The sequence below is a fragment of the Homo sapiens genome, chromosome 7 (genome assembly GCF_000001405.40).
Source record: "Homo sapiens chromosome 7, GRCh38.p14 Primary Assembly".
Classification (NCBI taxonomy): Eukaryota; Metazoa; Chordata; class Mammalia; order Primates; family Hominidae; genus Homo; species Homo sapiens.
Window position 1 is genome coordinate 122,882,820 of NC_000007.14, and position 14,085 is coordinate 122,896,904.

Consider the following 14,085-nt stretch of genomic DNA (forward strand, 5'->3'; position numbering starts at 1 on the left):
ATCAGCATTAGAGGCTCAAGCACTATCACTACTGACATCACTTTCAATCACTGTTTATTAGTTCATACTCATATCATGTGTGAACCCCTGGATATGTTCATTTAGGAGGTGTAGCACCTGGAAAGGCACTCTGTCACAGTGTGTAGCCCATATGCACCCCCAGAATTTTCTGTAAAACCATCAGTGGTCAATCAGAGGGCTTGAATGTCATAAACTGACCACTATTATTCCTCAAAATTGAAATAGTCTAGACAAAAGCAAAGAAATTCATGTGTTCGTTAACTGTGTTTAATGCTACTAAGCTTTCTCAAATAGCTCATAGACACAACCTCTTACTAACTTTGTGGACCATTTTAGCCAAGTGAAAAAAATAAATAAATAACACTGCTGCTCAGTTCTGGTTCATAGAAACTCACCAGCTCTAATAGTGAACGGGCTTTGACTAAAGAGAAACCTGACTCCTGGCCTCCTGGGTAAAGATCTTATCTTTGTGATTAATTTTCTTCATAAAATGAGGACCCTTTCAGATCTCAATTTCTGGGTCTCTAAATTCTTGAAGTTGAGAGAAGTGAGTAAGCAGCAATATTCATTTCAATGACAACAATTTCAGCTATTAAATCTTTTTACTGGATGCCTGACTACTTGAAGATACAGAATAAAATAAACAACGGATTAGTGATTTTGCAATTACCTTGTTACTTCTTTTAGATAATCTAACTGTATAATGCAAGACTTCAAGTAAGTTTTGGCATTACTTATTAGCTTGTGCATCAAATTCACATAAACATAGTTAAATTCCCATTTCATTTTGCCCTAAGAGGAAACCAGACTGCCAAAAGTTGCTCCAGCTCCCTTTAGTAAGCAGCACATTTTTTAAAAGGTGGGGGAGGGTTGAGTAAAGTAAATACTTAGGCTATTTGGCATCCATCTTAATAAAAAATAAAAGTAATTCACAAAAGTTAACCTGTGCTCAATGCTCTAAGCATTTAGAATGTGGAAATTCCTAAGGATTCTATTTTTTTTCATAGAATATATGTTGTATTTTGCTTTTTTTGTAGTTTGAAATTATCTTTGGTAATGCCTGGATAAGGTTATAACAATAGTCTCCCCAGTAGTATTGTGAATGCACCTGCTTGCCAATTCAAATAATTTTGAACAAATATTTAAACAGAAGGAGTCAGAGAAAAATGCACTATTTGAACAGCTAAGGGAGGGTCCACTTCATTAACAAAATGCAACAAGTATTCACAGTATAAATCAACTCATAGTAAATTTGCAAAAGCATCTTCAAGGATAATATTCCAAGGAGAAAATAGTCTCTTAATTTTACCAAACATTATTTTTACACTTTAATCATTAAAAATAGGCTTAAATGCAATATGAATGGTAAAACTAGAGACTGGATGATATGAACTCATACCACAACATATACAAAAAATAGTTTTAACAATGACTATTGAAGCTGACAGTCGCTTGACTAGAATTGAGAAGAGGCCACGGGTGACTGCCTCAGAACAGACTCAATTAGAGCAGCTGATTAGGAAGTATGGGATTCATACAGGAGTGGAGCAGCAGGCTCATAAAAACACCGCGGGGCATTCAAAACTTACCTGAGTAATGGTGGTTTTAACTGTGCCAATTTGTTTGGGATTGGGAAATGCTATTATGACCTATTTCTCTTCTCCAACATGAGGAGTCTCCCTACCATTCTGTGACTGAATACCTAGGGTTAGGTTACCTGAAGGATCTGTTATTAATCTCCAGCTGTAAGGAAATATTCCATAAGGATTCCCAGAGAATAAATGATTCCAAAATAGTTGCTCAGTTTGTGTGTGTTTTAAAAAGTTGGGTAAGACCACTTAAAATTTTTTTCTAAGAGGATAGATCTTAAGCATACAATAGTGTTAACTATAGGTGTGTACTTATCCCCATGATACTTATACACCTATGAAACCACCAATAGTTAGGGTGGAGTGGTATGCACAGCTTTTTACATGTCAATTATACCTCAAAAAATAAAGGTTATCTAAATGGGGGTAGGAGAATGTAGGGAGACTGAATTTACTCTGAACTACAGTTATAGTTGAAGTCAACTCAAAACCTCTCCAAATTTCTAAAAATGCCTCACACACTGAAGTTAATATTTCAGAAAACTAATAAATGTCTGTGCATGTAGGTATGCCTTGAGCAGACTACAATCTCTCTGGATCTCTAGGTCTTGTCACAAACTGAGGGAACTGTTACCGATTTCTACAGAACCTTCCAGGTTCAGCATTCTATTAAAAAGATTTCCTAGAGTTTGTATTGTAAACATTTAACCACTTAGGACAATTTGAGTCATTACTCGTGTCTGGTACAGAACATCAGGCCCCTGGGGTCTTGTTTTGAAACTCAAGTTGGCCAGCCTTTCACCTGAAACAAACTTCTTACCTTTTGGGGGAGAATAAGCATTTTGTTCCCCAAAAAAGCATTTGGAAAGCATTTGTTATGAAGTGATCATGCACCAATCCTTTATCTTTCATCAGTAATAGTATATTTCATTAATCAGGCCTGCCCAGACCAGAAATTACTTACCCACAAACACTTTACAAAGCTGCATGCCTTCTCGGTGTTTGGATTTGATGTCCTGGTTGTATGACAATATAGGAAACGTATTAATTTAACTTTTTTATTCACTGAGGAAAATTTCTACCCCTCTTAAGTGAAGACTTCACTCTAGCTAAGAGAAGTACTCGGGCTCCACCTGTTTCGCCTAGCTACAACACTCATTCAGACCCTCGGCAAACCCAGCTCTAGCAATATCACGCCAGGCTAGGTGGACAGGAATGCACCAGTGCTGTTGGAAATTAAAGTTGATGGGAGTTGCATTCTAATCCGGCCAGAGCTGCGCCTGCCGGGTGCAACCGCGGCGCGGCCGGCGCTGTCGGTCTCTGTCTCACGGATGGTGAGCTGACAGCTCCTGCCAGCCCAGGCGGGGAGGAGGAGAAGAGGTGTCCGCTGCAGCCGCATACCCGGCGGGTGAAAGCACCGTCTTGTCCCCAAAGATTCCTCTGCCCTCAGAGACTAACAAAAATACGGTGTCCTGCGTTTCGCAGAAGGACGGGAGGCGTCCCAGAGCTCTCCCGGGAGAAAAACCCAGGGAGAAGTGGTGGTAGGAGGCGCCCGGTCCCGCAACTCACCTTCTGCTGCCTCCGGGCCATGTCGGTGGGCTGCTTGGCGTTGAAGGGGTACGCGATGCACCTCACGACGAAGACGTAGAGCTGCAGGCGGATCCTCCGCTCCTGCTCATCGTCCAGCTGCCGCTGGGGCTCGTCTCGCCCCTCGCTGAGCACAGAGGGGCTCGGGCTCACAGATCTGGCCGCGCCGCCGCCGCCCGCGCGCCCCGGCGCGTCCCGCCGCCCTTCCCGAGTCGGGGCTGGAGGAGCTCGCTGCGAGCTGCCGGCTGCCACCAGCACATCGCGGCTTTCCTCTTCCAGCCCCTCGTCCGACTCCTCTTCGCTGGAAGACGGGTCCAGCATGGTGCTCGGGGATCCCCGCCGCTCGGCCCGCGGTCCCCAAGCGCCTCACCCCCGGCGGCTGCGCCCGCGGGTCTGAGGGAGCCGCGGGGCTGGCTGCAGCGGCCGCAGAACGAAAGGAAAACTGGCCAGGGCTTTCCGGACACGTCGAGTTAGATTCAGGAGTGTTTCCTACCACCAGGGCGAAAGGGGCGGGCAGGAGCCGGGAGGAGGATTGGGAGGGGGGAGAGGGGGAGCCGCCGGGACTGAATAGGCGGAGTTAGCGTTGGGGGTGAGCTTGGGCGCCTCAGGAATTGCTCCGCCAGCCCCGGGCGCGCCGACCCAGCGGTTCCCCAGAGCCCGCCGGCAGAGGCGGAGCCGCCCGAGCGCCCGGACGCAGGTGGGGAACCTGTGGCGCCTACAACAAGCAACACGTGGAATTGAATGTTGAAGAGCCGCGCGGGGCCGCGGAGTGCGCGTGCGCGCGCCGCCGCTGCTGCCCGGGCCCGCCTGGAGCCCTAGCACACAGTTTGCAAAGGCGGGGAGCGGCCGAGCGCGATGGCCCGTGTAAGCGTCCACCGGGGCTGCTCCGACTACCCTCACCCTACCACCTGTGATCTTTTCTCCAGCAGGTGGAGGTGGAATGGGGAGCGGGGAGGGACTGTTCCCTAGCAAGAGGTTAGGGGGAGCGGCCGAGACATCTCCCCAACCCGAATCGGCTGCCTAGGATTGAACCCCAGCGCGGAAAAGCGGGACTGGAGCCCTTCACCACGAAGTATCTTTGCGACAAGACTTTGAAAAGTCTCACTCTGCTCTGCTGCCGTTTTGATACTCATGCTGAAGCCCAAATTATAAAAGTCGGAGTAATGAAAAAAAAAAGAAAACCAACGAGGCTTACTTTTTAAACTGTTCTAGTCCTGCAGACTCAAGGCAAGAGAGATTTTATATGTGCAAAATGATACTGATTCAGCTCAAACATATCTCGATTATTTTCTGGGTTGGGATGCAGTTGACTCAAAACAGGTTGTGTAGTGTGGACATTTATTCAACAAAGATTTGAGCGCCCTCCCGGTGTCCAGCACTGTTAGCCTTTTGCGGAGCCCGCGGTGACTAAGGCACATGACACTCAGTCGCTGGTGGTTCTGGCCTCAAGTCGGCGTCTTGTAGCTGCGCTGAAGCCTGCCTTATCTGCGCAGATTTCTCAGTCCTAGTGCTGGAACCACCTAGGAGTTTCTTATAGTAATTCTGTATCTTATGTCCTAAGTCCTGACAGAGGGGGAAATAGGCAAAACAATGCATTCAACACCAGGTGGAGTGTGCAGCGACCAGGTGGGCAGGGAGGTGATGAAGTTCAGTGGAAATAACACAGGGCAAATTAACTACCAGCTCTGAGCTCCTCTACCACCATGGTCAAACAGCAGTTTTAGCTTTTTCAGGCCACTTTCATATAGTTAGGTACACAAGAGAGACTTCTGCACTTACTGACATTCTCTCTAGATGGGTAAAAGACAAGGAGGCATTTACTCCTGAGGAGTCTTACCTATTTTTCTGCCTAATCCATAACAGGCCCCCTAGTAATAAAAGGTCTTCAGTAAGAGCATGGCTGTGGGATGATCACAAACTGCCAAGAAATAGAAAATCTCAAACACCTATGTATTTAAAGGCAATGTTTTATTTTTGGCAAGGCAAACAAATAGCAATCTTGTCATAATAGCTGATGCTTATCTAGCACTTTGCAAAGATCTGTGAAATTGTTTAATACCCTCATCAAAGTAATAGCTTTCTGAGGCAGGTAGTATTATTATTGATTGCCCTTTGAACCAGATACTGCACTAAGCTCTTTACATACATTATCTCATTTATTTTAGGTTCCATTGTTCAAATAAGGAACCTGAGAGTTGAAGAATCCTTTCCTTAGGGTACAGAACTAGCACCTAATGGAATAAGGACTCAAAACAGTTTTCTAGTTCCAAATAGTGTCATTTTCTACTGCAATTTGCCTTGATAATAAGACAGTATAATAAATGTATGAGGTTTACTAAACTAATAAAAATTTCTAGGGACATAAATGTATGATTTAAATATAGCAACTTTACTGCCCTTTTCTTGCCAACAATAGGTATATTTTTCAGTTCCTTTTATTAATCAATATTACTTGATGTGATCACTTATTCTTTTCCCATTAAAGGTGGTTATTAAGTCAAAGATCTCCAAGCCTTGAGGATCCCACAGGAAAACATCTAATAATTTTTAGAGCAGAATATACAGTGTTTTCTCCATGAAGATGAAGATGACTTAAGAGGCATAAATTAAAGAAATATCTAAAAGACAACAAAGAGAATGTTTAAGCATCATTAAACATACATTGATTAAGAAACTAACATATGCTAAAGCTATACTGGATATATTTAGGAAAACAAGATATAGGCCGTAAGAAGTTTATCAGTTAAGGAATGACAAATGAAAAAAACATTTATTTAAAATAATCAATATTTGGATTGCAATCTGATGAGTGTTCCAATAACCTGGAAGATAATGGCAATACAGAGAAGAAACACTTCATTCAGAAGATAGTAAGTGATATGGTTTGACTCTATATCCCCACCCAAATCTCATCTCTAATTGTAATCCCCACATGTGGAGGGAGGGACTTGGTGGGAGGTGATTAAATCATGGGGGGCAGTTCCCCCCTGCTGTTCTATGATAGTGAGGGCATTCTCACGAGACGTTTATGGTTTAAAAGTGGCAGTTTCCCCATCTCTCTCTCTCTCTCTCTCTTGCTGCCTTCTGAAGAAGGTGTCTGGTTCTCCTTTGCTTTCTGCCATGACTGTAAGTTTCCTGAGGCCTCCCCAGCCATGCGGAACTCTGAGTCAAGTAAACCTCTGTTGTTTATAAATTACCCTGTCTTAGGTACTGTCTTTAATAGCAGTGTGGAAACAGACTAATACAGTAAGAGAAGTCTTCCAGGATGCTTGACATATATCTTGAAGAATAATTTAGAGCTGTCAAGATGAGGACACTGTAGATAGGAAGTAATGCAAAGATGTGAAATTGTTTGCCACTTTGGAGAATTACAAGTAAAGTGGCATGCCTGAAGTGAAGAATGTATGTAATATGAAGATGTGGAAAATGAGACTAGAGAATAAGCAGAGGCAAATTCAGGATTGGGTCTGTGTGCCATGCTTTGGAATTTAAACATATCCTGAAGAAAATGGGGAAATACAGAAGGGTTTTAAGTAAGGTAAGACATACTGTGATCCATAACTCTTAAGAGTCCATCTGGAGCAATATAAGGGCAATGAAACCAGAGACAAGCTATAAAGAGGAGATTACTAGGGACGTCTGAGAGAGAAACAATGGGCCTTGAACTTAAGAGAGAGGACAAGAGGAGGAGGAAAGCTGATGAGATGGACAAAGGAATTAATAGAATATGTATGAGGTGCTGACAAAGAGGGTCAAGCATAGAAGATGCTTGTCAGAATAGTGTAACTTGATTAATAATAGATATAATATGATCTTCTAGAAGACAGGTAGGTTTGGAGAAACATCAGGTCTTTGAGGAGCTTAAAGTACACATATGGATGATAAGGTCTAGAAATTATGTGTTCAGAGTGAGAAGAGGGCCAATGAAACTTCCTTGCCTCTCCTCTAATTAAGGGATGGTTTGAAGAAAAGGAACCTGAAAAGAAGATCTGATCATTAGTTAATTGTACCCAAATAATTTTAAAGTTTTTAATTTTGTGCTTGCGCTAATGTTTTGCCAAGTTTCTACCTTACATATTAACTTTTCAAGTAATTATAACGTTGGTTGATGCTCTGGAATCATTGATTAAATGAGGCCCAACATAAGGCTATATTGGGCACACAGCATAAATGCACACAATACACTTAAACTTATTCAATGATTCGTTTTTACTTTTTTCAAGGTGAGCATAAAAACAAATTGAATTTATACTGCTTTTTAATGGAACATCTCTTATGCTAAGGAAAGATGGATGCACAGTAATAAAATGGAATATAAAATGTGGTTTTGGCAATAATATTTAAGGAAACAAGTATGTGACCTGAATATCATAGGTGGGCTGTTTTCTGAATGAGAATTAGTTTGTGCATTTGGCCTCAAAGTAAATGTTAACTCTTTCAACTCATAGATGAAATCATTTTTTTCATAGAACAGACATTTTTTGGTTTCCCACTTTAGGTTATGCATTATTCTGAATACATAAAAGCTAATAATTTACCCACTGGGAGAATGCATATGAAATAGACAGGAGAACAAATTAAACAATAATGATAATATATGCTCATGTGTTGTTAGAGAAAAATTCTCAAAATATCCCTTAAGTGTCTTGAAAGTGGACAGTCTATTATCTTTTGTGGTATAGTTATAACTAAAATTATTGTACAACAGAAAGAGGAATCTTTTTTAGGACAAATGGAAGAATCAGTTTTGCAACATCTATGGGAAAACTGTCAGCTCACATAGAAATATGCACTTACAAAAATAAAATAAAAATATTTGTTTGAAATTTTGTGTTGAACATTTATATCTTATGAGGCAATAATCCTCTTGGAAACCACATTTAAATCCCTTCTCTCCCTTTACTCTGCTTTTGCCTTTTTTCCTCTCCAGTTAGAATCTGAGTCAGTAATGAAGAACTGTTCTGGGACCACACATTTTACAGGTAATGGGTGAAAATATATGCAGATGATAAGCATAAATTGACAAATAAATGAGTAGTTCCCAGTTCTCACACACACACACACACACACACACACGCACACTACACTCAAAGGGTTGTTGTGAAGAATAAATAAAATAATGCATACGAAGTACTTAAAATACTTGATAATGCGTACAAAGTACTGGTATAGAGTAAGTTCTCAGTTCATGCCAAATATTTTACTATTATACAGTAATCACTTTATTATTAAGCTCACTTTGGGCCATAAAGCTATAGAAACCAAATGTAAATAAAGTTGCAAATTGTTCTATGCATTTATTTATTGGATTTTATATAACTCAGAGTCTGTATTGCTATTATCATTAACCTGTAAAGAATCAGACTAACTCCCAGATGTTACAATATCTTGATATCGGAGATTTCATAATTTTTATAAGAAGACTTGACCCCAAATAAGAAGCTACCATCCTTTTGTTCCTATTCAATCTATGGGCATTCATTAGAGACTGATTACAGTTCTATTATTCTTTAATTTTCTATGTTATGAGAAATTTGAAGAAAATGAACAGAAATGAGTTGGCTTGTAAAGTGCAGGGAGGAAGGGAGTGTAAAAGCACATTGTGGCCTGTGTTCAAAGTGTCAAAGAAAAGTCTTGCATCAATTCAAGATATGTATTTAGTGGTTATTATGATCACCAGAGAAGCAAATATTTAGCCCAGAAGAGAATGTTTGGGTTTTTAAAATGTTAACAAATCCATAAACTATGTGAAATTTTTATGGCAATGGATAGAACATAGAAATTATGCTCATACTTGGATAAAGCAATAAATAGCCAGAGGCTTTTTTTTCCCTCCAGCTTTCATAGATTTTTATACTTATATTGACTTTGTTGTTAAACACATTTTCTGCCAGTCAATAACATGTATTGAGTGCCTGCCTAATCTAAATTAAGCACTACACTAGAACGTTGTAAAGAGAGAGTTGCATTGATTGACTAGGAATTCAACCAATGTCTCACTTAAGAGATGAAAATTCTACTACTGTAAAATAACTTACACCATTTTAACAATAATGCTCAAGAAAATTCAACTAAAGTGAAATAGAGTTTTATGCAAAAATTGTAAGACTAGTAAAAATGATATTATGTGGTAAAAAGAAAGATGTGCCTTTATTAACTATTTGCTGTTACTCTAGGCTATAATTATTATCAAATGTTTTGTTCTTTGGACCCATTTTCACCCTTAAAAGTTATTAATGACCGCAGATAACTTTTTTGGTGTGGTTATATTTATCAGTGTTTCTTATATTAGAAAATAAAGCTAAGAAAAGTTAGAAATAGCTATTTATTAGTTTATTTTAAAATAACACTTATTATATAAGTTATATATTTTTATGAAAAAAACTATTATATTTCCAAATTAAAGGTTGGGTGAGAAATTGGTACTATTTTTATACTCTAAAAATCTCTTTAATGTCTGGTTTAATAGAATTCATCTGGATTCTCATATCTGCTCCCACATTCAATCTGTTTTAATATATTATTTTGACTGAAATAGATGTAGAAAACTTGACATCACATAGCTATATAGTTAAAAAATGGAGGAGTATTTTAATAGTCTTTGAATATAATTGTGGACGTTCTTCTTTGGTATTATACCAAAAGTCAACAAGTGGTAGTTTCTTAAATGTTAGGTATGATGTAGAATGGAAAACCATATCAATAAACTCTTCTTATTCTGTGATATTTTAAAAAATCTACTAGTCTATCTTGAATTAATTTTTTACCTATGCATTATTTTGTAATACTATTTATTGGTCAGTGGGAAAATACTGGTTCACTGAGTTATATAGATCTTTCAAAGTTTGACACATTTTATTAAATAGTATAAAAAAATCACATTGTCAGTAACCACTAATCTCTTAAGAATAGTCTATTGGAAGACTGTCAAGCTCACTGTGGCACATACAAGTTTTACAAAATTTTAATTTTTGCTTGATAGCTTGAATTTTGTCACTGTCAACAATACTGCCAGTTATTTTCCTTAAAGTGACAACCTTGCTTTATGCATGCACTTTTGAGAAAAATTCTGCAGAATATCCACGTCTGAATAATTATAATTTGTCTGTCAGTTGTTTTCTCAAGTAAAAATGGGGTTCCATGAAGAAACAGCTAGTTCAGCTTGCAACTCAAAAAGGTACTTCTCCTTGATACAACCATTGTACTTCATTAGGTGACAAGAAGCGCTTTATCCATACTTCCCATTTTTGACTCGCAAAATATATATATTTTAAATTTTTAATCAGACTGGGCAACATGGTGAAACTCTTTCTCTATTAAAAAAATACAAAAAATTAGCCAGGTATGGTGGTGTGCACCTGTAGTCCCAGCTACTCGGAAAGCTGAGGTGGGAGAATCACCTGAGCCCAGGAGGTGGAGGCTGCAGTGAGCCTGATAGCACCACTGCTCTCCAGCCTGGGTGACGGAGTGAGACCCTGTCTCAGAATAAAATAAAATATACCCAAACATTGAGATTTAACAAAATTAATAATTTTTCCTGCTAAACCAGGAACATTCCTAAGTGAAACTGACATTTTTGTTTCCTGTGAGTGTGTACCAGTCAATAACACATGATGACTATCACATTTTTGTGCCAAGGTCTTGATTCATTCTAAGGCACCAGCAGTTTTACCACCAATGCCTTTGTGCCATCAATACAATGTCGACACAGCAAAAAAGACAATAATGTCTTAATATTCTTATGAAAACAGTTTCACTTTGTAGACTCCCCCGAAAGGGTCTCAATGACCCCCAGGGATTTGAGGATGACATTTTGAGAAACCCAGTCTTCAGAGTTATGTCTTTAATCTTGCCATTGAACAACTAACACATTGTTATTACTGAGCAAATATTTACTCTTAAATATTCTGTCAGCCTGATTTAAGGATAAAGTAGGTATTTTACTATGTTGAGCAAATAAAGCTAGTGGATCTAATTACACTTAAAGATACAGACTCTGAAAATGTTTTCATTCCTAGTTTAAATGACCAGCTATCTAATTTTTAAGTGAATTTTAATGTAATCGGCTCTTTATTATAAAAGCATTGATTCAATTAACAATATTATTCTACAATATTAATAAACAAAAATTTTACCTATAGTTCTGAATTTGATAATCTGAAATTTTTCATTTAATAATATAGTGCCTTGGATCTGAATTTAAACATTATGCTTTTATCATACATCTGAAATTTCCCTAAATTTCTCATTAAGCTAAAAATTGCCTATCTACCTCTGAGAACTGAACATAAAAATACATATATGGCATAATTAGAATTTTTCAACTTTATTTTTTTCCTTTTAGTATGGATATCTGGGAAGCACTTAATTTTATTAAATTTGTGACAATTTTATATTTGAAACAAAATTTAGAAATTTAGAGTCAAATATACATTATATAGAATATAACTCCTAATGAAACATGATTAGAACCTGTATTATCATGTGAGGATAAAGCCAAAAATTCTATATTGTTGTTTGTAGTAAATATCATATTTTTACATCTCTCTCTATAGTATCATAAAAATAATCTATATAAAAATAAATTTGTAAGAACACTTTTATTTATACTGCTCTTTTTATTAATATATAATTTAGTTGTGGGGGAGAATGAGTCAAAAACAAGTAGGGGTGTGTGTGTGTGTACATGTGTGTGTGTATGAGAAAGAGTGTGTATTTGAAAAAAATGACAGGTCCTTTCCATCCCAAGAAGACTGTTCATATCTTTATAATTAAGCCCTTGGCTTCTATTAATCAAAACTATGACCAGAGGAAATATAGTTTAACAAAAAAAGGAGAATACTACTTAAAACCATAAAGCATGTATGAGCTCTAGTCCAGTAGTCCCCAATCTTTTTTTTGGCACCAGGGACCAGCTTCACCGAAGACAATTTTTCCACAGACGGTGGGGGCAGGGATGGTTTGGGAAGGATTCAAGCACATTATATTTATTGTACACTTTATTTCTATTATTATTGCATTGTAATATATAATGAAATAGTTATACAACTCACCGCAATGTAGAATTAGTGGGAGCCCTGAGCTTGTCTTCCTGCAACTGGATGGTCCCATCTAGGGGTGATGGGACACAATGACAGATCATCAGGCATTAGATTCTCATAAGGAATGCGCAATCTAGATCTCTCACATGTGCAGCTCGCAATAGGGTGTGCCCCCTATGAGAATGTAATGCTGCCACTGATCTGACAGGAGGCAGAGCTCAGGTGCTAATGCAGGAGATGGGGAATGGCTGTAAATACAGTTGAAGTTTCACTTGCTCACCTGCCACTCACCTCCTTCTGTGAGGCCTGGTTCCTAACACGCCACCAACTAGTACGTGTCTGAGGCCTGGGGGTTGGGGACCCCTATGTGAAACTCCTATATGAAATGTGTCATACTGATGGCCTTTTTTCTAAATAAAGGATTCAAAATTTGTATCATGGGGTCCAAGACATCAAAAAGATAGGAGCCACGGTATATGCATTTTAGTTAAAATGAGGTAATCTACACTGTATGACCTAGATAAATCATGTAGTTCCTGAGGTCCATATCTGATAATTAAGGTGAACTAAAGATTAAGGATATTAAACACACATATATAACTATGCCTTAATAATTCACTGAGGAGTTTTGTCCATCAATTTTTCTTTTTTTTTTTTTGAGACAGAGTCTTGCTCTGTCACCCACGCTGGAGTGCAGTGGTGCGATCTTGGCTCACTGCAACCTCTGCCTCCCGGGTTCAAGCAATTCTCCTGCCTTAGCCTCCTGAGTAGCTGGGATTACAGGCGCACACCACCATGCCCAGCTAATTTTTTGTATTTTTTTAAGTAGAGACGGGGTTTCACCACTTTGGCCAGTCTGGTCTCGAACTCCTGACTTTGTGATCCGCCCAACTCGGCCTCCCAAAGTGTTGGGATTACAGACGTGAGCCACCGCGCCTGGCCCCATCAATTTCCCTTTAACCACCTTAAACTAGCTATGTGTTCTACATTAAAATAACAAAGATTGTTAGGGAAATTTTTATTTTAAAATATCTTTGTATAAAATTAAATAATAATGAGCATAAATTACTTATAAAAATAATTAAATACTAGATTGAATATCAGGAGACTTTATTACCAGTTACACAGTTTCCGTAGATAATTAAATAGGTTTATTATCATATCTACATTTCTGAGCACTCTTTGGGAAGTGCCCCATGGCTACTAAGAACATTTCTATTTATCAGTATTTCCCTGATCATCCTTGCAAGGTGATACATAGTGATGTCCCATTGTCCTATAGAGATTGATAGTATTCTTAGCCAAATGTCTTATTTCACAAAATTATGCATTTGTATTGTAATAAAAGTTTATTTTCCTTTTTGGTGGAATTCTTAATTTTCAAATGAAAAAATAATTACAAATCTCTGTTAGTGCCTTTACTTACCATGCTATCACAAATAACACATGTACACACATATACATGCACATACACACACAGGAGTTATTTAATACTGCACAATTTTTCCCTTATATATTAAAATATTCTCCTCCCACAACATTTTTTGCTGATAGTTTTCCATTCCCAAACTCAAAATAATTTTTGTATTCCCAAATTTTACAAATATAGAAACATCCATAAGATGGTGCTGTATCTTTAATTTAATCTGGTCAGATACTTGGTGCTATGGTACATCTATTACAAACGTGGTTAAAAGAAGGGGTTAGAGTTTAATCTTTAATAAGTCTTATGTTGGGCAGCTGACAATGTAAGTTTAATCAGAAACTCTTAAGAAACTTTTCCTCACATATCATACAATTGCTAAAGTATCTTTGTTCCAGATCTAGTTGCCAAGTATAGGCGAAAA

General features: G+C 38.4%; 1 protein-coding gene across 28 annotated transcripts in view, besides 6 other annotated features; it reads right to left on the reverse strand.

Moving 5' to 3' along the window:
* The window catches only part of CADPS2 (calcium dependent secretion activator 2), a 568,050-nt gene extending 564,409 nt beyond the window's left edge, over window positions 1-3,641 (reverse strand). For 25 of the 28 annotated variants that reach the window (NM_001363398.2, NM_001009571.4, XM_047421032.1 and 22 more), the window contains exon 1: window positions 3,180-3,641. In NM_001363398.2, coding sequence (NP_001350327.1) covers window positions 3,180-3,518 — 339 coding nt within the window. In that variant the 5' untranslated portion in view covers window positions 3,519-3,641. Of the gene's footprint in view, window positions 1-2,574; window positions 2,627-3,179 lie in introns of all 28 variants that reach the window. The other 3 variants (NM_001363400.2, NM_001363399.2, XM_017012796.3) reach the window with 1 other exon arrangement.
* Window positions 2,929-2,978: an enhancer, noted in NCBI's record as "active region_26565". NCBI's record gives its function as "activates an Ori minimal core promoter by ATAC-STARR-seq in GM12878 lymphoblastoid cells {active_cell/tissue: GM12878}" and the evidence as "EXISTENCE:reporter gene assay evidence [ECO:0000049][PMID:35858748]".
* Window positions 3,339-3,468: a silencer, noted in NCBI's record as "silent region_18578". NCBI's record gives its function as "represses an Ori minimal core promoter by ATAC-STARR-seq in GM12878 lymphoblastoid cells {active_cell/tissue: GM12878}" and the evidence as "EXISTENCE:reporter gene assay evidence [ECO:0000049][PMID:35858748]".
* Window positions 3,509-3,558: a silencer, noted in NCBI's record as "silent region_18579". NCBI's record gives its function as "represses an Ori minimal core promoter by ATAC-STARR-seq in GM12878 lymphoblastoid cells {active_cell/tissue: GM12878}" and the evidence as "EXISTENCE:reporter gene assay evidence [ECO:0000049][PMID:35858748]".
* Window positions 3,569-3,648: a silencer, noted in NCBI's record as "silent region_18580". NCBI's record gives its function as "represses an Ori minimal core promoter by ATAC-STARR-seq in GM12878 lymphoblastoid cells {active_cell/tissue: GM12878}" and the evidence as "EXISTENCE:reporter gene assay evidence [ECO:0000049][PMID:35858748]".
* Window positions 3,719-3,878: a silencer, noted in NCBI's record as "silent region_18581". NCBI's record gives its function as "represses an Ori minimal core promoter by ATAC-STARR-seq in GM12878 lymphoblastoid cells {active_cell/tissue: GM12878}" and the evidence as "EXISTENCE:reporter gene assay evidence [ECO:0000049][PMID:35858748]".
* Window positions 3,889-4,048: a silencer, noted in NCBI's record as "silent region_18582". NCBI's record gives its function as "represses an Ori minimal core promoter by ATAC-STARR-seq in GM12878 lymphoblastoid cells {active_cell/tissue: GM12878}" and the evidence as "EXISTENCE:reporter gene assay evidence [ECO:0000049][PMID:35858748]".